At 38.3% G+C, this 27,391-nt stretch overlaps 1 annotated feature.

The window, feature by feature from the left end:
* Positions 9,649-10,210: an enhancer, noted in NCBI's record as "NANOG hESC enhancer chr2:209948524-209949085 (GRCh37/hg19 assembly coordinates)". NCBI's record gives its function as "activates a minimal SCP1, AML or CMV promoter by ChIP-STARR-seq in primed H9 embryonic stem cells {active_cell/tissue: H9 hESC(primed)}" and the evidence as "EXISTENCE:reporter gene assay evidence [ECO:0000049][PMID:30033119]".

A 27,391-nucleotide genomic window follows, 5' to 3' on the forward strand; every position in this document is an offset into this window, starting at 1 on the left:
AAATAATAATTTCATTATTCTAAGAGATCACCTACTCAGCACTTATATAGATGAAAATCTAGATAAGCCATTACAGCCATGAGCAATGCTAATGAACATTTTTGCAAACTCTGGACAGGTGCTTGACATCCTCAATGATCTTCCTATTTTTCTCAGTTATCTGGTCATGAGCAACTGGCCCAGCTGAAGATGATTCATTTCAGATGAGATCACCTTTAATGTACTTTAATCCACTGTAACACAGCATCCAGTTGAAGTGGAAAGTGTGGACAGGCATGAACCTCCAAAATGGCAACAGCAAACTGCAAAGCTCACCCAAAACACATCTAACAACACCAGGGTCTTCAGCTACCAATCAAGCCCCTGTACACTGTCTCAGAAAAAGAAATATCTCTAACTTCCTCAGTTCATAATGATTTTAATATCTTGGGAATTTTTTCATTGTATTTCTAGGGCCAAAGAAAATTTAAACTATTTGGCAGCACCCTTGTGAGTTTACTGCGGTGTCCAGGGTGCCTTAGAGCTAGTTTAGGAACTGCATTTCTAAAAATAATAGTTGTTTTTCATTGCCTTCTATAATTCAAGATTTACATTCTGGAGTGGACATGTCCCTAAGGTATCAAAACTCTAAATTTCAAGGCCTCTTACTTGTAGGAGTCTCTTCCATGGTCCTGATCAGGGAGAAACAAAATTGAGCATACAACAACAATTGTTTAAGAGAACCACTTCTCCTTCCTCCCAAGACACTTTGCGGTTTGGTAGTGTTAGAGTGTCCATGGGCGCATATATATAGTATCTAGCTAAGGAGAAGTTAGCACTAGAGGAGAAACACAATTTGACATGAATGAAGTCACAAAGCTGTCTGTGGACAGTTCTTCTAATCAAATATGAAAATAATTTAAGTGTAGGATTTTTTTCGTTTTGGTCAATACCCATGCACAATGACATTTCCTGTTAGCAATATACTTGATAATGAAGCCTACATAATTATATATAAAATCTCCTCTTTTTCCCATTGTTAATGGGAATTTCCCAAAACAAAATTTAACATAACTCATTCATTTGTAGAACATAAACTTGCAAAATTAGAACAGCAAATATCTATATATCTGAAGTTGCAGGTTTTATGAATCACAGATATCAATTAAACAAATTTAATCTACCATGCTAGACCTTTTTCTTCTATCTTTAAAAATTATGATACAATTTTCTTTCATTTAAAACAGTGATCAATAGTATCAAGCCAAAATATATGGGAAAATATATTGTAACTTTATTTTATTTTTTTGAGACTTTGTCACCCAGGTTGGAGTGCAGTGGCACGATCCTTCTGCCTCAGCCCCCCAAGGAGCTGGGACTACAGGTGCACCACCAGGCTTGGCTAATATTTGTAATTTTTGTAGAGGTGGGGTTTCACCATGTTGCCTGTGTTGGTCTTAAACTCCTGAGTTCATGCAATCTGCCCACCTCTGTCTCCCAAAGTACTGGGATTACAGGCATGAGCCATCATACCCGGCCATAAAGATATTTTATAATTATGACATTTCTCATGTTTTAGTTTATTGTGACTTTTTTCTCATTCACAGTAAATATTCTGTTTTGTTTGTTTTTCCTAACTTTGATTCTTTTTTCTTAAAGATGGTACTTTAAATCATGTAAAATTGAGGCCTGAAAAACACCTGTCTACCTCTAGCCATGATGTAAGTGAAACATTTCTTTAACCTATTTCAAATAATTTTATTTTCCTTTTTTCTTTCTGCATCTTGGCTTATACTTTCCATTTGCCTCTGAAACCTAGTCCAAAAATAATTTATGTGCTCACTGCTCACTCCATTTTTGTATTTTATCCTTTTCGGAAGAGAAACATTTTCAAAAAGCCTTTTTGTTTTTTCAGAGTTCTCTCAATTTTATGCTCTGGTGTTCTTAAAATATTATATGAGCATCATAATACTGCTTTTCAAACAAGAAAAATCTCATCTGCAGTCCCATGTTCTTGCAGCATTATTCCCAGCAGACAAGATATGGAATCAGTCTACATGTCCATCAAAGAACGAATGGAGAAAGAAAAATATAGTGTCTATACACAATGGAGTACTTTTCAGCTTTAACAAAAGAAGGAAATCTGTTCCTTTGTGACAACACAGATGAACCTACAGGACACTGTGTTAAGTGAAACAAGCCAGGCACAGAAATACAAATACCACATGATATCACTTATGTGGAATCTAAAAAATGTTGAATACATAGAAGCAAGGAGTAGAATGGTGGTTCTGGCTGTGTGGGGGGTTGGGGGCAGTAGATAGGGAGATGTTGATCAAAGGATACAACAAAAGTATTTTTCAATTTTTTTTATTATACTTTAAGTTCTAGGGTACAGGTGCATAATGTGCACATTTGTTACATATGGTGCTGGAGAGGATGTGGAGAAATAGGAACACTTTTACACTGTTGGTGGGACTGTAAACTACTTCAACCATTGTGGAAGACAGTGTGGCAATTCCTCAGGGATCTAGAACTAGAAATACCATTTGACCCAGCCATCCCACTACTGGGTATGTACCCAAAGGAATATAAATCATGCTGCTATAAAGACACATGCACACGTATGTTTATTGAGGCACTACTCACAATAGCAAAGACTTGGAGCAACAAAGTATTTTTTTAAATAATATATAAATACATCTCATAAACTCCACACAATGTACACATGTCCTCATTAGTACTGTTGTACTCTCCCCTTTTCCTTCTTTCAAACCTATTGCCCTTCACAGCTGTTTGTCTTGGGTTTCTCTCAACACCACCCTCACCCCCAGAATCTTATCAGCCCTCTTCACTCCATCTCCTTCTTTATGAGCTTCTGTTTTCTTTTTCTCCTCTTGTTCAATCACAAAAGCACAGGAATGGATCTATCAAGTACAAAATTCTTATGTGGTGTCTGAGAGAGGAAGGCATTCAGGTAATGCCTGTGCCAGTGTTTTCATGCCATCAAGCATATGCATGAGAAAGAGGTGCTGCAATGTATTCAAGGCTTATTGCATCCTAAGTTCAGTGGGACCTATGTAAAGGGATGAGGTCATTTAATTCTCATAAGAACATTATAACTTGGGAATATCTCCATATCTTAAATGAGGAAACCGAGGGCCACAGAAGTTATTGACTTGTCTGAGGGTGCAGCTGGGACTAGTACTCAAGTCTGTCTGACTCCCTGGTTTGTATTCTTAGCTTCTATGAGAGGCTTCCTTTCTAATCAAAAGTTGCATAAAGTTTCACATTCCCAAAATATTCTTCAAAGCATCATAAGTAACTTCATAAAGGGCAAGGTGTATTCACTTGAAGGTGAGTGTGATTCTGTAAAAGACTGAAATTTTACTGATGTTGATTATGGAATAACTAGGTGAGCTCACTGGTATTATAGGTGTAGGTAAAGAATGAGATGTGGATTCAAAATAAAGAGGCTAAATTTCTGTGTCATTTATTATCTAAGCTTAGAGGCAAATTACAAAAAAAAATTCATAAAAATATGCCAAGAATGGAATATTCCTGGGGGAAAAAATGTATGTACCTTACATTGTCACTGTTAAGAACAAAAAATTACAACATTTGCACTTGTTTTATGAAATCCATAAAGCAATAGTGATCTCGGGTCAAATACATATACACACTACACAAGACACACACACACATACACACACAATTGCACATTCAGTCCACCTTGTTTTTAATGGTGATATCATTGTGAAGTTATAGGTGAAAGAGCTCACATAGCAGAGTATTGTGATATTAGCCATGATGTACTAACCATCTACATATGTTAGTTGATTGTAATAATAATAAAATAATTAATTTTAAAGATATAAACTATACTTATTGTCAGGTCTCTGAGCCCAAGCCAAGCCATCGCATCCCCTCTGACTTGCAGGTATATGCCCAGATGGCCTGAAGTAACTGAAGAATCACAAAAGAAGTGAAAATGCCCTGCCCCGCCTTAACTGATGACATTCCACCAAAAAAGAAGTGTAAATGGCCGGTCCTTGCCTTAAGTGATGACATTACCTTGTGAAAGTCTTTTTCCTGGCTCATCCTGGCTCAAAAACTCCCCCACTGAGCACCTTGCGACCCCCACTCCTGCCCACCAGAGAACAAACCCCCTTTGACTGTAATTTTGCTTTACCTGCCCAAATCTTATAAAACGGCCCCACCCCTATCTCCCTTCTCTGACTCTCTTTTCGGACTCAGCCCGCCTGCACCCAGGTGAAATAAACAGCCATGTTGCTCACACAAAGCCTGTTTGGTGGTCTCTTCACACGGATGTGCATGAAATTTGGTGCCGTGACTCAGATCAGGGGACCTCCCTTGGGAGATTAATCCCCTGTCCTCCTTCTCTTTGCTCCGTGAGAAAGATCCACCTACAACCTCAGGTCCTCAGACCAGCCAGCCCAAGAAACATCTCACCAATGTCAAATCCAGTAAGCGGCCTAATTTTTACTCTCTTCTCCAACCTCCCTCACTATCCCTCAACCACTTTCTCCTTTCAATCTTGGCGCCACATTTCAATCTCTCCCTTCTCTTAATTTCAATTCCTTTCATTTTCTGGTAGAGACAAAGGAGACACGTTTTATCAGTGGACCCAAAACTCCGGCGCCGGTCATGGACTAGGGAAGGCAGCCTTCCCTTGGTGTTTAATCATTGCAGGGACACCTCTCTGATTATTCATCTACGTTTCAGAGGTGTCAGACCACGCAGGGACGCCTGCCTTGGTCCTTCACCCTTAGCAGCAAGTCCCGCTTTTCTGGGGAAGGAGCAAGTACCCCAACCCCTTCTCTCCATGTCTCTACCCCTTCTCTGCCTTTCTGGGGGGAAAGAAACCCCCAACCCCTTCTCCTTCACCCTTAGTGGCAAATCCCGCTTTTCTGGGGGAAGGGCAAGTACCCCAACCCCTTATATCTCTGTGCCCCAATCCCTTATTTCCATGCCCTGACCTCTTATATCTCTGTGCCCCGATCCCTTATTTCCGTGCCCCAACCTCTTATATCCCTGTACCCCAATCCCTTATTTCCACACCCCGACCTTGTATCTCTGCACCCTGACCCCTTTCCTGCTTTTCTGGAGGGTAAGAACCCCCGAACCCCTTCCCTCTGTGTCTCTACTCTCCCTTTTCTTTAAACTTGCCTCCTTTGCTATAGGCAACCTTCCACCCTCCATTCCTCCTTCTTCTCCCTTAGCCTGTGTTCTCAAAAACTTAAAACCTCTTCAACTCACACCTGACCTAAAACCTAAATGTCTTATTTTCTTCTGCAATGCTGCTTGACCCCAATACAAACTCGACAGTAGTTCCAAATAGCCAGAAAATGGCACTTTCAATTTTTCCATCCTGCAAGATCCAAATAATTCTTGTCGTAAAATAGGCAAACGGTCTGAGGTGCCTGACGTCTAGGCATCCTTTTACACATCAGTCCCTTCCTAGTCTCTGTGCCCAATGCAACTAATCCCAAATCTTCCTCCTTTCCCTCCCGCCTGTCCCCTCAGTACCAACCCCAAGCGTCGCTGAGTCTTTCTAATCTTCCTTTTCTACAGACCCATCTGACCTCTCCCCTCCTCACCAGGTCGAGCTAGGTCCCAATTCTTCTTCAGCCTCCGCTCCTCCACCCTATAATCCTTTTATCACCTCCCCTCCTCACACCTGGTCCAGCTTACAGTTTCATTCTGTGACTAGCCCTCCCCCACCTGCCCAGCAATTTCCTCTTAAAAAGGTGGCTGGAGCTAAAGGCATAGTCAAGGTTAATACTCCTTTTTCTTTATCTGACCTCTCCCAAATCAGTTAGCATTTAGACTCTTTTTCATCAAATATAAAAAACCCAGCCGAGTTCATGGCTAGTTTGGCAGCAACCCTGAGAGGCTTTACAGCCCTAGACCCTAAAAAGTCAAAAGGCCATCTTATTCTCAATATAGATTTTATTACCCAATCTGCTCCTGACATTAAATAAAACTCCAAAAATTAAATTCCGGCCCTCAAACTCCACAACAGGACTTCATTAACCTCGCCTTCAAGGTGTACAATAATAGAAAAAAGTTGCAATTCCTTGCCTCCACTGTGAGACAAACCCTAGCCATATCTCCAGCACACAAGAACTTCCAAACACCTGAACTGCAGCAGCCAGGTGTTCCTCCAGGCCTGCCACCCCCAGAAGCTTGCTACAAGTGCCAGAAATCTGGTCACCAGGCCAAGGAATGCCCGCAGCCCGGGATTCCTCCTAAGCCGCGTCCCATCTGTGTGGGACCCCATTGAAAATTGGACTGTTCAGCTCACCTGGCAGGCACTCCCAGAGCCCCAGGGACTCTGGCCCAAGGCTCTCTGACTGACTCCTTCCCAAATCTTCTCTGCTTAGCAGCTGAAGACTGACACTGCCCAATCGCCTCGGAAGCCTATAGGACCATCACAGATGCTCTGGGTAACTCTCACAGTGGAGGGTAAGTCCATCCCCTTCTTAATCAATGCGGAGGCCACCCACTCCACATTACCTTATTTTCAAGGGCCTGTTTCCCTTGCCTCCATAACTGTTGTAGGTATTGACAGCCAGGCTTCTAAACCTCTTAAAACTCCCCAACTCTGGCGCCAACTTAGACAATACTCTTTTAAGCACTCCTTTTTAGTTATCCCCACCTGCCCAGTTCCCTTATTAGGCTGAGACACTTTAACTAAATTATCTGCTTCCCTGACTATTCCTGGGCTACAGCCACACCTCATTGCCACCTTTTCCCCCAGTTCAAAGCCTCCTTCACATACTCCTCTTGTATCCCCCCCACCTTAACCCACAAGTATAGGACACCTCTACTCCCTCCTTGGCCACTGATCATGCACCCCTTACCATCTCATTAAAACCTAATCACCCTTACCCCACTCAACGTCAATATCCCATCCCGCAGCACGCTTTAAAAAGATTAAAGCCTGTTATCACTTGCCTGCTACAGCATGGCCTTTTAAAGCCTATCAACTCTCCTTACAATTCCCCCGTTTTACCTGTCCTAAAACCAGACAAGCCTTACAAGTTAGTTCAGGATCTGCGCCTTATCAACCAAATTGTTTTGCCTATCCACCCTGTGGTGCCAAACCCATATACTCTCCTATCCTCAATACCTGCCTCTACAACCCATTATTCTGTTCTGGATCTCAAACATGCTTTCTTTACTATTCCTTTGCACCCTTAATCCCAGCCTCTCTTCGCTTTCACTTGGACTGACCCTGACACCCATCAAGCTCAGCAAATTACCTAGGCTGTACTGCCGCAAAGCTTCACAGACAGCCCCCATTACTTCAGTCAAGCCCAAATTTCTTCCTCATCTGTTACCTATCTCGGCATAATTCTCATAAAAACACACGTGCTTTCCCTGCCAATCATGTCCGACCGATCTCTCAAACCCCAGCACCTTCTACAAAACAACTCCTTTCCTTCCTAGGCATGGTTAGCATGGTCAGAATTCTTACACAAGAGCCAGGACCACACCCTGTAGCCTTTCTGTCCAAACAACTTAACCTTACTGTTTTAGCCTAGCCCTCATGTCTGCGTGCAGCAGCTGCCACTGCTTTAATACTTTTAGAGGCCCTCAAAATCACAAACTGTACTCAACTCACTCTCTATAGTTCTCATAACTTCCAAAATCTATTTTCTTCCTCATACCTGACGCATATGCTTTCTGCTTCCCGGCTCCTTCAGCTATACTCACTCTTTGTTGAGTCTCCCACAATTACCATTTTTCCTGGCCCGGACTTCAATCCGGCCTCCCACATTATTCCGGATACCACACCTGACCCTCATGACTGCATCTCTGTGAACCACCTGACGTTCACCCCATTTCCCCACATTTCCTTCTTCTCTGTTTCTCACCCTGATCACACTTGGTTTATTGATGGCAGTTCCACCAGGCCTAATTGCCACTCACCAGCAAAGGCAGGCTATGCTATAGTATCTTCCACATCTATCATTGAGGCTACCACTCTGCCCCCCTCCACTACCTCTCAGCAAGCCGAACTAGTTGCCTTAACTCAAGCCCTCACTCTTGCAAAAGGACTACACATCAATATCTATACTGATTCTAAATAGGCCTTTCATATTCTGCACCACCATGCGGTCATATGGGCTGAAAGAGGTTTTCTCACTGCACAAGGGTCCTCCATCATTAATGCCTCTTTAATAAAAACTCTACTCAAGGCCGCTTTACTTCCAAAGGAAGCTGGGGTCATTCACTGCAAGGGGCATCAAAAGGCGTCAGATCCCATTGCTCTAGGCAACGCTTATGCTGATAAGGTGGCAAGACAAGCAGCTAGCTCTCCAACTTCTGTCCCTCACATCCAGTTTTTTCTCCTTCACATCAGTCACTCCCACCTACTCCCCTGCTGAAACTTCCACCTATCAATCTCTTCCCACACAAGGCAAATGGTTCTTAGACCAAGGAAAATATCTCCTTCCAGCCTCACAGGCCCATTCTATTCTGTCGTCATTTCATAACCTCTTCCATGTAGGTTACAAGCTGCTAGCCCGTCTCTTAGAACCTCTCATTTCCTTTCCATCATGGAAATCTATCCTCGAGGAGATCATTTCTCAGTGTTCCATCTGCTATTCTACTACCCCTCATGGATTGTTCAGGCCTCCTCCCTTTCTACACATCAAGCTCGAGGATTTGTCCCTGCCCAGGACTGGCAAATTGACTTTACTCACATGCCTCGAGTCAGAAAACTAAAATATCTCTTAGTCTGGGTAGACACTTTCAATGGATGGGTAGAGGCCTTTCCTACAGGGTCTGAGAAGGCCACCACAGTCATTTCTTCCCTTCTGTCAGACATAATTCCTCAGTTTAGCCTTCCCACCTCTATACAGTCTGATAACAGACCAGCCTTTATTAGTCAAATCAGCCAAGCATTTTTTCAGGCTCTTAGTATTCAGGGAAACCTTTATATACCTTACAGTCCTCAGTCTTCAGGAAAAGTAAAACAGACTAATGGTCTTTTAAAAACACACCTCACCAAGCTCAGCCACCAACTTAAAAAGGACTGGACAATACTTTTACCACTTTCGCTTCTCAGAATTCAGGCCTGTCCTCAGAATGCTACAAGGTACAGCCCATTTAAGCTCCTGTATAGACGCTCCTTTTTATTAGGCCCCAGTCTCATTCCAGACACCAGACCGACTTAGACTGTGCCCCAAAAAACTTGTCAACCCTAGTATCTTCTGTCTAGTCATACTCCTATTCACCGTTCTCAACTACTCAAACATGCCCTACTCTTGTTTACACTGCCAGTTTACACTGTTTCTACAAGCCATCACAGCTGATATCTCCTGGTGCTATCCCCAAACCGCCACTCTTAACTCTTGAAGTAAATAAATAATCTTTGCTGGCAGGACTATGCTGAATCTCCTTAGGCACTCTCTAATCAGATGTCCTGGGTCCTCCCAATTCTTAGACCTTTTATACCTGTTTTTCTGCTTCTCTTATTCCATTTAGTTTTTCAATTTATACAAAACCGTATCCAGGCCATCACCAATAATTCTACACGACAAATGTTTCTTCTAACAACCCCACAATATCACCCCTTACCACAAAATCTTCCTTCAGCTTAATCTCTCCCACTCTAGGTTCCCACGCCGCCCCTAATCCCGCTCAAAGCAGCCCTGAGAAACATCACCCATTCTCTCTCTCCATACCACCCCCCGAAAATTTTCGCCGCCCCCACACTTCAACACTATTTTGTTTATTTTTCTTATTAATATAAGAAGGCAGGAATGTCAGGCCTCTGAGCCCAAGCCAAGCCATCGCATCCCCTGTGACTTGCACGTATATGCCCAGATGGCCTGAAGTAACTGAAGAATCACAAAAGAAGTGAAAATGCCCTGCCCCGCCTTAACTGATGACATTCCACCAAAAAAGAAGTGTAAATGGCCGGTCCTTGCCTTAAGTGATGACATTACCTTGTGAAAGTCTTTTTCCTGGCTCATCCTGGCTCAAAAAGCTCCCCCACTGAGCACCTTGCGACCCCCACTCCTGCCCACCAGAGAACAAACCCCCTTTGACTGTAATTTTCCTTTACCTGCCCAAATCTTATAAAACGGCCCCACCCCTATCTCCCTTCTCTGACTCTCTTTTCGGACTCAGCCCGCTTGCACCCAGGTGAAATAAACAGCCATGTTGCTCACACAAAGCCTGTTTGGTCTCTTCACACGGACGTGCATGAAACTTATTAATTACTAAAGATAAATAAGTGAAGTAACACTAGATTCATTTTAACCTGAATTAATACAAATAAGGTGAAATGCATGGCCTACTGATTGTCTATAAGGAGCAAACCTATAAAATATCAAGTATTGTCACTGCTTGAATATGCAAATGAAAGCTGTGAATAATAATCACGTGGTCAGGGAGAGAAATAAGTTTAAAGATATTAATAAATCTAGAGCACTTTCACATTATGTCAATGTAGTTAAAAGGATGAAAAGAAAATGTTTATCTTCCAGGTGGCAATTAAGTATTTATGAGAAATTCTGGTATCCAAATTGACAGGCAACTAAGTGAAATAAATTGACTAACAAAGCATAAAAGTGAAAAAAATACAGGTCGTCATTGGAACAAGTTGGTTAAATATGACTGAATTAATGAGTTTTAATAAATCCACATACTATAGATTTTCTACTAATTGGAAACCTAACAAAATTAAATATGTATGACATTTAAAAATTATTTTTCAGAACTACTTTGGAACTGTTAAATTTAGAGGAAACTTTCCTAATAGATATAAAATATATAGTGAAAGAGCCAGCAATTTTTAAAAATTTTACCATTTTATTAGTTTTTAAGTACACAGTTCTAAGACTGTATGCATTTACATTATTGTACAATCATTATTACCATCCATCTCCAGAAATTTATCATCTTCCCTAACTGAAACTCTGTTACCCCTTAAATACTAACTCTCTATCCCACCTTCCCCACTCCCTGCCCAGTTCCTGACAACCACCATTCTGCTTTTCATCTCTGAGATTTTGACCATTCAGGGAATCTTACGTAAGAAGAATCATAGAATATTTGTCCTTATGTAACTGGCTTATTTCACTTGGCATAACATCTGCAATTAGGATATTATTTTAGAGCAAGAGTTTTAAGCTGGAGTCTATAGAGCCAGCTATATTTGTTTTACTAGGTTGATCTACTTTAATGATATTTAAATGTCTATTTGAATGCTTCAACTAATGAGCATTTTGTGATGAGCAGAATATCCTGGAAATTTACTAGATTCTTAATGGTGTGTATGTAGCCAAATATTAAAAATGTCTGATTTTGAGGTTGCATACTAAATGAATCTGATATTAAGATAAAATACAACTAAAAAATGTTAAAACCTGAGAAGAAACTCAATAAAAATAAAATAAATGATTACATTGATAATTGGAAAAATAAAAGTCTAACAAAGTTAAAGGAAAATACATGTTAGCACAATGTAGGCTTTATTAAGGATTCTACTGTCCTGCTCTGAAGTAGGACAAAATTTTCTAAGGCATTATATTAGAGTTACAGAGAATTCAGTTTGGGAACAAGAGTTTGAAACTTTTGAAAGAAATGCAACATTTTTTTCCAACTGTGTAGTTTAAAATAAGTATGGAAAATAAATTGATTCGATTTATTTTCTTTAAAGGAGCATCAGAAAAAATAAATAGCATGTTTTAGTAACAAGTGAAAATATAGCCAATAAATTACAAAATTTTAAAAAATCATTTTGACAATTATTTTATTATTAAATAGTAGATGGGTTTTGAATTAAGACAAAGGCAAACATATCACAGAGTTGAAATTAGAGAAATTTTTAAATGACATAGTTCATTGTCTATCTTCTAGCGCTTTGAAAACTTCCTTTAAAATAAGTCAATCGCGCAAGTTTTATTATTGCTGTCCAAAATACACTTATCAATTATTCCTCAAGAATACCCCCAGGCCAAATTCTAAGGACCTGCAGTTTCTACCTCTCTAGGGGAAAAAGTGACACTGATGCTATGACCTTAATATCTTAAAACAGAGACCACTTCTTATATAAAACAGGATAGGTAGTAAGCCCACATGCATATGGTGTAATTTCAGGAGGTCATTTTTAGAGCCCACTCACCTTCATATTTCAGTTTTCTCGAACATAATACTTCCACATTAAAGATTGCTATATGAAATTCCATAATTAGCAATAGATCCGATGACATGACTTATCTGTCTCCCTTCGTATCAGCAACAAAACTTGTGTGCAAGCAACAGAACTGTCTCTGATTTTCTTAAGAAAGGAAAGATAATATCTATTGGAAATATGTACAGTTGATAATATAGGAGATAACCAGACATGGAAAATTGGCCAACATTAAGGTAGTTTTAAAATGTTTAAGGAGCACAAAACTTTTTATTTAGGAAAAAAATCAGTAATTTTTTAGCCTGGATATCACATCAATGGTTGTAGCTTCTGCTTCTGAACACTACCATTGAGACTCCACCAGTGGATTCTAACTAGTCTTTATCGTGGCCTCCCAGAAAGAAGCATTAGACAAGGCTAATTCATGTACTTAAGCTCCTATCTCTAAGACCTAAGAGAGAAGTGGGATTTGTCTACACTGATAGCAAAAAGTAGAAATTCCTTTTTATCAGTCAGTGAATAGTGAGCAAAAGAGGATTGACTCTAGACATTTCAGATAAAATACTATTTAAGACAGGAATTTAGGCACTTAGAAAACCACAGAACAGCATGAAATGACAAAGTCATGGGGGAACTGCCTCCAGCTTTCAGATTTACTTCCATCCCTGAGGCTCTCAGGATGTACCTGACATTAGTCAGGAGTTACAGTTGCCTGTAGTATTGGGATAGGTAATTTGCGGCGGAATTCTTACATGATGTTCCTAAAGCAATCTCTGCTGAAGCCCGTTATTGACCTGCCATTGCTGGAAGAGGAAAAGAGCTTCTGATTGCTTTCAACTTTCCCAATTTTGTGTAATGTCTCATTGTTTGACTATAGGGAAAAATCATTTAGGAAAGGATTCTGGAAAATATAGTTCCCAAATTTCCAGCCCTTGTGATAAATGGGGGACCCTAGAAGAGGAAGAAGGTATACTTGAGTGCAAATGGCAATGTGGCACACTTTCAAACTGTCAAAACACATAATTGGGAATTTCCTGACACAGAAGTGGAAGTTACATATTAGCGAAGCCCACAAATGGCAAAATGACTTAGCACTAATAAAATTCAGTATATTCTGAGAAATATATAATTTATTAAATTATTTCTCAAAACAAATACTGCATTAACAAAAATAAGGTAAAATTACTAGGATGTGGAGGGTCAGGGAGCAGTCATGTCCATTGGAGAAGCAATGATAGTGTAAATAGAGACTAGAACTTCAAAAGACACATTTCTCCTACTTGACAATTCTGCAGAGAGTTGGGGTTATATACAGGGATTCAGCAGCAGGTAATCCTTGATGCTTACTGTTTCAGGCCAACTTGTGTGTGTGATGGAGTGTAAAACTACCCATTCAAACTAGGTCATGTAAAAATGGGGTTGGATAAATAGAGAGAGAGAGAGAGATGTATATATAATATTTTCTGGACACATGGTCATTAGTATATAGTGGAAATTTTTCATACACTAACATGTCTATTGAACATATGGTTAGACATAAACTGCAGCACATATTAATATATGAGACCTTTTATATTAGAAATGTTCAGTAGCAATATGATTGCTACATCCAAAGATAGCTAGAAAAGAATCAACAAAAATGTTAACACTCTATCTCTGATCTGATTTTTATAAGTAAATATTGACATAATTTTTTTTTTTTTTTTTTTTTTGAGACAGAGTCTCAATCTGTTGCCCAGGCTGGAGTGCAGTGGCGTGATCCTGGCTCACTGCAACCTCCACCTCCTGGGTTCAAGTGATTCTCCTGCCTCAGCATCCTGAGTAGCTGGGATTACAGGTGTGTGCCATCAAGCTTGGCTAATTTTTGTTGTTCTTGTTGTTATTTTTAGCAGAGACGGGGTTTCACCATGTTGGCTAGGCTGCTTTTTTCTTTTTATTTTATTGACATGTGACTTCCTAATAGCTTGTCAAAAAATGTACCAAGTTATTTCTTCGTGATTACTTTAAGTCAGTATGTCATAGCATGTGAATCTTCATCATCATAGAGAAGAATGCAACTCTAACTCTTCTTGACTCTTTTTATGTATCGTATTTGGTGAGACAATGGAGTTTGGTATTTAAAAGTGTTGGCTCTAGAATTAGACTCTCTGATTCCCAATGCTGCTTCATCACTTATTAGTGGTGTAACCATAGGAAACTTACTTCAAATCACTAGGATTAATTTTTTTCATTTACAGATTAAAGTTAAAAATAATAACCATCTCAAAGTATTATTGTTAGAATAAAACTATATAACATTTAAACACAGTGAACAGTACACATTATACAATGTTAGCAATTAGTATAATTACTAATGTCTTCAAGGAGAACATAGTCACATCCACTTCTATGATAAACTTTAAAACAAATGATGCTAGAAAGATCCTATCAAAATTATACCCTAGTATTTAGTAATAACTCTGAGATTTTATAATTTTGATCTTGAGAATTTAGTATTTTCAAAGTTAGATTAAAAACAAATTTAGTTTAAAAACTGTGTTTGAATCAAATTAAAATTTATGTTTAGTCAACAAATTAGAGCAGCTTTTTGTAAAAACAATAGCCTAATAATCAATGTTCATCCGGTTAAAAAAATTATAGTACATTCCAACACTGGAACAAAATGCAGGCTTAAAAATAAATAAGAATTTTTTTTACATACTAATATACAACAATCTGTAGGATACACTATTATGTGAAAAATGCTGGGTTCAAGAGAGTATATTTAGTATTCTATCAGTTATATAAAAATGGAAATAAAACATTGTGTGTGTGTGTGTGTGTGTGTGTGTGTGTGTGTATTTGCCAGTAAAAATTAAAACTGGTTGCTGGCAGAAAGGGACTTGGGTGGTTGAAAGAAAGAGGTGGCAAGAATACTTTCCGTTTCTTATATTTGTGTATCTTATATTTGTGTATATATATATATACAATCCGTGTATGTAAATATACATATAAATTCAGAAGACAAACAAGTACATACACACACATGCACACACACATACAAATAAAATACGATTAAAAAATAAGAGTAACAATGGGGTGTTTAAAGAAAGTCTAATAGAGGTGTATGCTAAGAGAAATAAAGAGGTGGGCTAAACCAGAAGTGTCAAGGGTTCAGACATAAACCAGCCCAAGCTCCATTATTTCAAGGTCATTTTATTATAATTACTGTTCTTTCTTTGATTCATCCTTTCAATACTAAACACATCCTTTCAAACAAACAAACAAAAAAATGCACTGCTCTTTGGCCCTCTACACATTTCTCACATCCACATCAGGCCTCCTGAGTTGCTGCAAATTTCACTGTAAGCTCATCGAATGGAGAAACCATCTTGGTCATCTACATCAGCCTGGCACGTGATAAGCAGTAAAGATTTGATGAATGAATCAGCGAAAAAAGACAGCTACATTCCAGAACTTGATCCAGAATTGATCTCCTTGTTGCCATTTTATGGGATATGATACATTTATGAGGTAAAAAATATTCTAATATAAAACGGTGTTCTTTCACCATTTTGTATTTTGTGACTTTCATTTATAACGTACATTTTTTTTGTCAGGTAACATGAGTCTTTTTTCTTTTTTCTTCTCTACATAAATTTTGTTGCTACTTTAATAACTATTGTTCATGATCAATTGTGTTACTTTGCAAAGTATCTAAATTTTAATCTATTAACTCAATTGGACATTTATTACTTTAGAGTAAAACATTTTCAAGATGAAACACTGCTATTTCTTTCTAGCTTCTAACTCCTAAATCTTTTTGTAATTTCATAAAAATACAACCTAAAATCACAAATTAAAAGGCCAGATTTTCTTGTTTCTTGAGAACTTGCCAAATTAGTTTTATAATAGTTATAAGCATAGATGGTCCAGTCCTCCTTTATTGAGTTAATGAAAATGCTGTAGAAGCAATCACTCAGTGAGATGAAAACAAACAATTTTATTTTAAGAGGTAATTTTATTTCCACCCTCATTGGCATTTAGCAAAATTTTCTTGAATAAATCACTACAAAAAGACACCAAAGTATTTCACAGAGCCTTTGTAGGTACTGAGCATCAAACATTTCATCTTATATTTCCTCTTAAATTGAAATTAAGCAATCATAAATGTAACAAAAATTTTGTTATTTATTAACCTATAATATCAAGTTGCAGGTGTTCTCAAAATGAGATAACTAAGGTCATCTGTTTAATTTCTGTGATATCATACTATCCACATACTATGGTTAGATTTAACTGAATTACTGATTAAGTGAACTTTGCATTTATCTCTAAAATTAAATTCTCAAGTACTTGTGTTTAAATTTGCAAATTCCAATTTCTCCTAAATATATTCATTTCTTATTTCACTATAACAAGTTTAAGCTTTAAAAAGACAGGTTTATTTTAAGAGAATTAATCCCAACAATTAAAAACTAAAAACAGCTTTCAATTTGCTTTTCAGCTGCTAAATAAATTAGGGAAATACAAAGTGGTCATCCCTCAAACACAAAGGTAAAGAAAGAAGCAATTATGAAGATAAATTACTTAAGTTATTTTTCTTAAATCAGATTCTTTTCTCTTAAATAGGTTTTTGGGCTAATACCCATAAATTTATCCTTATTTTTCTCTGAAAAGAATAATCATCCAGACTTTATCTTTTACTCACACATTTAGAAATCCAATTTACCCCAAAATGAAGCATTAACATATTTTTCAAAGAAATGTTCACAAGAGTTCTTAGTGTGACTTATTAGCATAATCCCCACCTGCTTATACCATTAGGCAGTTCAGTAGCAAGTGATACAAGTCTATGTCAGGTTAAAAGAATTTCATGATTCATAGTACCTCAAAAGCATTAGGATCTATGTATGAAGCTCTTTATAAACCTGGCCTTAATGGTTAATTTATTCTCAGATTTCTGGAGAGCATATCGCTGTCTAAAAAATGTGTAACCACATTTATTGCTCCACATACTTTCTCATGATTTGTCATATTAACTTTCTACCTCCAAATATCATCCTTCACACATTTCCTGTTGCCAGTGCTGCCACAGATATGAATGTCACTTGGAAGTACAGAATTTATTTTCACTCCAGATACATCTGTTTCCACCATATTAGAAGTGACTCAGTTTTTAATTAGTTGGAATTTATAAGTGAATTTTTCAAATGTAAGGGGATGAACAAGGTTTTCCAATTATTAACTTCACAAACTTTAACTTTTTCTCAAAATCCCATAATCAGAAAACCACTAGTCTTTTTTTTAAATTTACTTTTTATTTCAATAGCTTCTGGGAGAACAGGTGGTGTTTGGTTACATGAATAAGTTCTTTAGTGGTGATTTCTTAAATGTTGGTGCATTCATCACCCAAGCAGTGTACACTGTATCCAATGTGTAGTCTTTTATCCCTCACCACCACCCACCCTTCCCCTTGAGTCCCCAAAGTCCATTGTATGATTCTTATGCCTTTGCATCCTCATAGCTTAGCTCCCATTCATATATATATAACTCACAATTGCAAAAATATGAAACCAGCCCAAATGCCCATCAATAAGTGAATCAAGAAAATGTTGTGAGATATATATATATGTGTATATATATATATATATATATAAAATATGAATACTACTCATCCATAAAAAAAGGATACAATAATGGCATTTGCAGTAACCTGGATGGAACTGGAGACCATCATTCTAAGTGAAGTAACTCAGAAATGGAAAACTAAATATTGTATGTCCTCACTCATAATTTCCATCTTGATTTCCTTGTTGGTCCAATGAACCTTCAGGATTAGGTTATTTAATTTCCACGTATTTGCATGGTTTTGAGGGTTCCTTTTGGAGTTATTTCTAGTTTTAGTCCACTGTGGCCTGAGACAGTACTTGATAAAATTTCAATTTTCTTAAATTTACTGAGACTTGTTTTGTGGCCTATTATATGGTCTATCTTGGAGAATGTTCCACATGCTGATGAATAGAATGTACATTCTGCAGTTGTTGTGTAGAATGTTCTGTAAATATCTGTTAAGTCCATTTGTTGTAGGGTATAGTTTAAGTCCATTGTTTCTTTGTTGACTTTCTATCTTGAAGACCTGTTCAGTGCTGTCAGCAGAGTATTAAAGTCCCACACTATTATTGCGTTGCTCTCTCTCTCTCTGGTTTCTTAGGTCTAGTAGCAATTATAAATTTGGGAGCTCCAATGTTAGGTGCATATATAGGAGGTGTGTGCAAAAGTAATTGCCGGTTTGCCATTACTTTCAATGGCAAAAACCACAATTACCTTTGCCCTGACCTAATATACAGGATTTTGACATTTTCTTATTGGACTAGTCCTTTTATCATTATATAATGTCCCTCTTAGTCTTTTTCTAACTGCTGTTGTTTTAAAGTTTGTTTTGTCTAAGAATAGCTACTCCTGTTTGCTTTTGGTGTCCATTTGCATGGAATATCTTTTTCCTCTCCTTTACCTTAAGTTTACTTGAGTCTTTATGTATTAGGTGAATCTCCTGAATAGAGCAGAAATTTGGTTGGTGAATTCTTAGACATTCTGCCATCCTGGATCTTTTAAGTGAAGCATTTAGGTCATTGACATTTAATGTTAGTATTGAGATGTGAGGTACTATTCTACTCATCATGCTATTTGTTCCCTGAATACCTTTTTTTCATTGTGTTATTGTTACATAGGTCCTGCTTTAAGGAGATTCTATTTTAGTGTATTTTGAGGATTTGTTTCAAGATTTAGAGGTCCTTTTAGCAGTTCTTGTATTGCTGGCTTGGTAGTGATGAATTCTCTTAGCATTTGTTTGTCTGGAAAAGACTATATCTTTCCTTCATTTATGAAGCTTAATTTCACTAGATACAAAATTCTTGGCTGATAATTGTTTTGTTTAAGAAGGCTAAAGATAGGGCCCTAATCACTTTTAGCTTGCAGGGTTTCTGCTGAGAAGTCTGCTATTACTCTGATGAGGTTTTCCATTATAGGTTACCTGATCCTTTTACCTCACAAGTCCTCAGATTCTTTCCTTCCTCTTGACTTTAGATATCCTGATGACGACGTGCCTAGGCAATGATCTTTTTGTGATAAATTTCCCAAATGTTTTTTCATCTTCTTGTATTTGGATGTCTAGATCTGTAGCAAGGCTGGGGATGTTTTCATCCATTATTCTCTCAAATATGTTTTCTAAACATTTGGATTTCTCTTCTTCTTCTGGAACACCACTTATTCTTAGGTTTCGACAGTTAACATTGTCCCAAACTTCTTGGAGGTGTTGTTCATTTTTTAAATTCTTTTTTCTTTGTCTTTGATGGATTGGGTTAATTTTAAAGCCCTGTCATCAAGCTCTGAAGTTCTTTCTTCTGTTTGTTCGATTCTATTCCTGAGACTTTCCAGTACATTTTGCATTTCTCTAAGTGTTTCCTTGATTTCCAGAAGTTGTGATAGTTTTTTATTTATGCTATCTATTTTGCTGAGGATTTTTCCTTTCATATCCTGTATCATGTTTCTGATTTCTTCAAGTTGGACTTCACCTTTCTCTGGTGCCTCCTTGATTAGCTTAATAATGGACCTTCTGAATTATTTTTCTGGCAATTCAGAGATTTCATCTTGGTTTACATACATTGCTGGTGAGGTGATGTGATCTTCTGAAGGTGTTAAAGAACACTGTTTTGTCATATTACCAGAATTGTTTTCCTGGTTCCTTCCCATTTGGGTAGACTATGATCAGAGGGAAGATCTGGGACTCAAGGGTTACTGTTCAGATTCTTTTGTCCCATAAGGCAGGGGCAGGGTTAAGTGTGTCTGAGCTCAGACTCTCCTTGGACGGGGCTTTCTGAGGCTGCTGTGGGTAATGGGGTTGTGGTTCCCAGGCCAATGGAGTTATGTTCTTAGGATTATGGCTGCCTCTGCTGAGTTATACAGGTCACCAGAGAAGTGGGGGAAAGCCAGTAGTCACAGGTCTCACCCCATTCCCATGCAGCCTGCAGTTCTAAAGGCTGGTCTCACTCCCACTGTGCTCCCTGCAACAGCACTAAGTCTATTTCCAGGCAGCCAGTGACCAGGGCTGAGAACTTGCCCCAGACCACTAGCCTCCCTCCTGAGAAAGCAAGTGACTCACAGTTTTCGGCATCTTAGGGAGCCAACAGCGGTGATCCAGTTCCTTCAAAGGGTCTGTGGATTCTCTCAGCTTTCCTGGTATGTTCCTGCAGTAGTTCTTTGAGCAAAAGTTCACAATGAGGAGTCTCCACTCACTGCTCTGTCTGTCCTAGCAAGAGCTACAAGCTAGTCCTGCCTTCTTTTTGCTATCTTTAATCCTATCAGCCAAACCACTAGTTTTCTTTTTCTTTTACATTTACCAGTAATAAAATTCCGAACACATTAAGTTCTTCTTTCTTAGGCCCTTTCCAGCTAATGTTTAGACACTAGTTGTCATACCCATGACAACCTGTCTTTAATTACTGTGTGCTGGGAACACAGTTTCAGTGCAGTGTTTCTATCTCTCTTTCCTTGAGTAGTTGATCTTATAGTTACGTAGTGTAGAATTAATTCAGTGTCTACAGTAAAATAAAGTATTGTGAAAAAATCTGTTTTCTTCTGCCACTTTAGTTTGATCCCATCTCATATATTTTACATATTCTATAAAAATAAATGGAACCAAAGGATTAGCTTTCAAAGAGAAGCAGAAAATGATATGATTTGAGGATACTGAGTATGACCAGATGGAGAATAGACAAGATAGGTAAAGGACATCATAGAAAGAAAGATGAGTATGTAAAAGCTATGAGCTACTAAGGTTTTTAGCAAAACTGTGTAACTTTATTGTATTCAAAGTTAGGACAGGACATTTAGTTCAATTTTATAGCTGAAGAGATGGGAGATATAAAAACAAATTTGCAATTCCCCAAGTCATTTTGACAGCTTAAGTCTATATTGGAAATCTGAGTATTCCAAAAACAAAGCCAAACATTTACCCCTCCATGCCAATTTAATGTCGAAGTAACTTGACATACAATTTAATTCTGTCAAAATCAATGTTAGGAGATAAAGAAAAGAATTTAAGCTGAGTTTAAATGTATTTATCTAAATTAAAGATAATCAAAGTTTAATCATATTCCTTGATAGTTTTTGGTCTGAGTATATCCTTTTATCTCAAAGATATTCCTTTTATATTAACTAAATGTCAACATCATATTAATCACAGGTCCCAGAGAAAAGACACGTTCATTGCTCTCAAACAGTGCCTCATAAGCAGAAAGACAAACACAAACAGTGGGTTTCATAGAATATGGTAAAGTTGAAAGTGAGTCATTGGGAACGTGGAAAACAGAACACATCTGCACCTGTACAAGCCAATCAGAGATGGCCTCACAAAAATAGTAATGCTTGTGCTCTAGTTTTTAAGCATATTTCCCCTCTTTCTATTTTTCTTTCTTTTTGTTTTTGTTTCATTTTGTTTTGTTTTGTTACAAGATTGGAGCTGGGAATGAGGATGATGGCCCAGGGCACATTCTTCTTTACAGAGGTAATACAGCATATGCAGATGTATTAAACATGGAAAGTTTAAAATTCATTTCACCCAGTTTACAATACTTTGCCACATTTTCTTTTTTTTTAAGTCAGCAAATTTTATTCACCTAGAAGTTCTCAAGCCCAATTAGAGTAACTGTTTCTCTAACTTTTATTTTAAGTTCACGGCATGTGTGCATGTTTGTTATTTAGGTAAACTTGTGTCATGGAGGTCTCTCATACAGATTATTTCATTACTCAGGTATTAAGCTTAGTGCTCATTAGTTATTTTTCCTGATCCTCTTTTTCTTTCAATGCTCTACACTCCAATAGGCCCATGTCAGTTGTTCCCTTGTTCCCCTCTATGTGTCCATGTGTTCTCATCATTTAGCTCCCACTAATAAGTTAGAACATATGGTATTTGATTTTCTGTTCCTGTCTTAGTTTACCAGGGATAATGGCCTCCAGCTCCATCCATGTTCTGCAAAGAGCATGATCTCATTCTTTTTATGGCTACATAGTATTCCATGTTGTATATGTACCACATTTTCTTTATGCAGTCTACCACTGATGGACATTTACGTTGATTCCATGTATTTGCTATTGTGAATAGTACTGCAATAAACATACATGTACATGTGTCTTTATGGTATTTGGGTATATACCCAATAACAGAATTTCTGAGTCAAATAGCATTTCAATTTTTAGGTCTTTGAGGAATCGCCACACTGTTTTCCACAATGGTTTAACTAATTTACACTCCTACCAACAGTGTATAAGCATTCCTTTTTCTCCACAGCCTCACAATTGATATGGACAGGAGACAGGGAAATACTGGGTAGAAGAAGGCAGTTCCCCGGCAAAGGCCCCATCCTCAAGCCTGGAGACCAACAGCCCTAAGTGGAGACAGCATTTCTGTTTTCATGCCCCAAAAATTACCTTTTGGCCTGCCATGCCTCACTATCCTGCACCCATATAAATCCCAAACCCCACGCTCCAGAAACAGAGAAGCAGGCAAGGAAACAAGACAAGCAGACAAATGGAAGAACAACACAGCAGAGAAAGAGAGAAGAGGAGGAACGTCTGAATGCTGAGAGGAGTTCAGCTGGGGGTGGTAGGAGAGGAGTTCAGCTGCTGGATAGCCAGGCTCCAGGGGAAGATCATCTTCCCACTCCATTCCCTCTTCCGGCTCCCCATCCATCCTGCTGAGAGCCACCTCCATCACTCAATAAAACCCCACATTCAACCTTCAAGCCCGTGTGTGATCCAGTTCTTCCAGGAGGCTGGGCAAGAGCTTGGGATACAGAAAGCTGTCACACTGGCCCTCTGCCCTTGTGAAAAGGCAGAGGGTCCATTGAGCTGGTTAACACTTAAGCTGTCTGAGGATGGCAAGGCTAAGAAAGCATTAGCCCCAGTGTTACAACACTGGGGCCACAAGCACCCACACCTAGACACTACTGCAGCCCTGGAGCCCAAAACTCTCACCCTGGCTCCTGCATCTGCCTGTCTCTGTGCTCCCCCTCCTGCCAGGGGTTTGAGCAGCAGCAGCAGCAGCAGTGGTGACCGATTACAGGCGAGCCACACCCCTGTCACATGTCCTGCAAGGAGGATGAGGGAACTCTCCTGTTTCACCAGGACCTGTTATTTTTTTACTTTTTAGTTCCTTCATACCTAGTTTATTGACAGTTTTTAACATGAATGGGTGTTGAATTTTAACAAAAGCATTTTCTGCATCTATTTAGATAGTTACGTGGATTTGTTTTTAGTTCTGTTTATGTGATGAATCACACTTCTGATCTGCATGTTGAACCAACCTTGCATCTTGGGGATAAACCCTACCTGATCATAGTGGATAAGCTTATTGATGTGCTGCTGGATTCAGTTTGCTAGATTTTCTTGAGGATTTTTTCTCAGATATTCATCAAAAATATTGGCTTGAAGTTTTCTTTTTTTGGTCTCTCTCTGCCAGGTTTTGTTATCAGGATGATGCTAAGTTTGTCTCATCTTCTATTTCAGTCCCACTTCATCTTAATTACTTGATTACTCCTTTTATTGGACATTTGATGCTCACGAGACATATAGAAATATTCAACACTCAGATGGGTGTATGGGGTTTAAGGGATGACAAGGATCATAAAAATCTGAGATTGCAGCATAATTACCTTATGACTAGAAGCATGTGAATGCACTCTATGTATAATTTGGAGGAATATTAAATTTCAAATCCCTTAAGAGTTAGGACTCCAAAAAGTTAGGACTATGTACCATAGTCATCCTCTTCTCATTACATTTAGAATCATGTTTTTCTTTGGTAATAAAATGACTTTCATAGAGCATTAGATACATGCTATGAAATATGTAGGTAATCAGGATAATATTTATCAGCAGATTATTATCGTTTGTAGAAATTGTAAACTAAATGCTACATTTTCAGGTACAAAATACTTAAGGCACAACTATGTACACTAAAATTGTATAGGTTATCTTATCAGTGTTAATATAAATTCTGACAGGTGATCTTTATGGAAGATATAAAATAAAATAATTGTTATGAAGATGGAAACAATAAAAATACTTAAGTACTCATTAATAAAAACTAACAGTATGAGGCATTTTGATTTCAGCTTCAACATTCCTCCCATTCCTATAATAAAAGAAAGCTAGACAAACTGAACATTATTGACTTTCCTTGAACATAACAGAGAAGTTAAGGTCACAGGGCACATCACTGATCGAAATTCTAGAGAAGCAGGTGCCATCCAGAGAGACACAATGAATACCTGTTCACCTGGAGCTAAAGCTAATAAAAACATAAACTACTTAAGAACACAAGTGATCATTCTGCCAATATGCCAGAGGCTGAGTATGGACTAGTGTTAGAAGCTCCTGAAGACTAGTCTAATAGGAACCAAACACTTTGTGGACTTTACATCTGGGAACCACATGCAGCTCTTACAGTGAAGAGTCCTCATTGAAAAGTCAATGAGGAGAGGAGAGTAATTATTGAGAAATATATCCAGAGCCTTCTCTATAACAAAGGTCAACTCTACAGGGAAAATCACTTTGTCAGAGCCTTATCCCAGCTGGAGGAAAGAAATACCTACCACTCTGACCTGCAGCCCTTCTATCTCACTTAAATGAAAACAAAAAGAGTCAACAGGGATCAACTGCAGCCAAGAAGCATGTGGGGGAAGAAGTTATATCAAGGAGAAACAATTGCGAAGGGTTCAACTGTAACATCTAAGCCCACTAAAAGACTGAGATTTATTAAGAACATTATAGAGTACTACCTCTTCCCCCACCTTACCATCACATCAACAGAACTCCAGTATAAAAACAGTGGATTACAGATGAAATATCTGTATGACACAGATTCATTCGAAGTTTTGGTATTAGTCAGGATTCTCTAGAGGGACAGAACTAATAGGATAGGTGTATATATAAAGGGAAGTTTATTAAGGAGTATTGGCTCACACAATCATAAGGTGAAGTCCCACAATAGGCCATCTGCAAGCTGAGGAGCAAGGATTCCCAAAACCCCAAAAGTAGGGAAGCCAACAGCGCAGCCTTTAGTCTGTGGTCAAAGGTCCGAGAACCCGTGGCAAATCACTAGTGTAAGCCCAAGAGTCCAAAAACTGACGAATTTGGAGTCTGATGTTCAAGGGCAGGAAGCATCCAGCATCGGAGAAAGATGAAGGCCAGAAGACTTAGGCCAGTCTAGCTCTTCCATGTTCCTCTGCCTGCTTTTATCCTAGCTGTACTGGCAACTGATTAGATGGTACCCACCCAGATTGAGGGTGGGTCTGCCTTTGCCAATCCACTGACTCAAATGTTAATATCCTTTGGCAACATCCTCACAGACACACGCAGGAACAATACTTTGCATCCTTTAATCCAATCAAGTTGACACTCAATATTAACCATCACAGGTTTGGTGATGCATTTTTTGACACAACACTAAAGCATGATCTATGAAAGAAAAAAATAGAATAGTTGGACTTTTTTAAAAACTGAAACGTTTTCTGCAAATTATACTATAAAGGGAATCAAGATAGCTTATGGATTGAGAGACAATATTAGCTAAACACGCTTCTGATAAAGAAGTTGATCTAAAAAAATACAAAAAACTCTCAAAACCCAACAATAAGAAAATAAACAACTCATTAAAATGGGCAAAAGTTCTAGACAGATACTCATCAATGAAGATATACAGATGACATATAAGTATACTGTGAGATACTCAATATCATTTGTCATTAGGGAAATGCAATTTAAGAAAATAATTAGGCAGAGCATGATGGCTCACTCATGTAATTCCAGCACTTTGGAAGGCTGAAATGGGCAGATCGCTAGAGCACAGGAGTGTAAGACCAGCCCGGGCAACATGATGAGACCCTATTTCAACAAAAAAATACAAAAATTAGCCGGGTTTGGTAGCATATACCTAGTCCCAGCTACTAGGGAGGCTGAGGTGGGAGGATCACTTGAGCCAGGAAGGTCAAAGCTGCACTGAGCTGTGGTCACACCACTGCACTCCAGCCTGGCAACAAAGTGAGACCCTGTCTCAAAAAACATAAAAATTAAAATTAAAAAAAATTTTAAAAAGGAGAGAAAGAAAATAATTACATATAACTGCAAACCTATCAGAATGGCTATAAAACAAGCAAAAAAGAAAACACCAATTGCTAGTGAGAATATGGAGGTACAACAACCATCAGTAATTGCTGGGGGTGGGATACAAGGTGATACAGCCACTTTAGAAGACAATTGGAAGTTTCTTACAAACCTAAACCCAGTTTCACCATACAATCCAGCAGTTGCTCTCCTAGGTCTTTACCCAACTGCTCAAAAAACATATGTTCGCACAAAAACCTACAAGTGAATACTTATGGGAACTTTATTTGTAATGATCAAAAACTGTAAGCAACCAAGTTATCCTTAAATAGAGGAGTGGACAAACAACTGTGGTACAGTCATACAATTGCATACTACTAAGTTATAAAACAGGATGAGGTATCAAGCCATACAAAGATACAGAATAATCTTAAATGCATATTGTTACGTGAAATAAGCCAGCCTGGAAAGTTTACATACTACATGATTCAATTTATATGACATTTTAGAAAAGCCAAAACTATAGAGATGTGAAGGAGACAAATGTTTGCCAGGATTTTCAGAGGGGTAAGGGTTGAACAGGTGAAGCAAAGAGGGTGGTATAGGGCAGCGAAACTATTCTGCATTATACTGCAATAGTGGATATACAACAGCATGCATACGTCAAATCCCATATAACTTTACAGCACAAGTAAGCCTTACTATATGCTAATTTTAAAAAATGTTTAGGAAGTTGGGGGAATTCCAGCATTGAATGCAGATTGTGACCAAAGAACCTATCTTATTAAAAAGTGTATAAAGTAATTTTACTGAAGAGAAGAAGGAAAAAAGACACTAACCCAAGAAACTTCAGAAATGAGTGAAGTCTATAAGACAAAAAGCAAAACACGCTGTACAAAAGCACTGGGCTCTAGTTGAGAAAAGTTTCACATGGGATCCGGGTTAATAATATTGATAATTTATAACATGCATACTGCAACTGAACAACTAGTACATGAATGGTGGTTTTTTGGGAGCTAGGTTTCTCATCGTTGGAGTGGAAAGCTACAGAAACGCAAGGGGAGAAGGTTAGAATGAAACATGTTGTTATGGATT

The sequence above is a fragment of the Homo sapiens genome, chromosome 2 (genome assembly GCF_000001405.40).
Source record: "Homo sapiens chromosome 2, GRCh38.p14 Primary Assembly".
In the NCBI taxonomy this organism is placed as follows: Eukaryota; Metazoa; Chordata; class Mammalia; order Primates; family Hominidae; genus Homo; species Homo sapiens.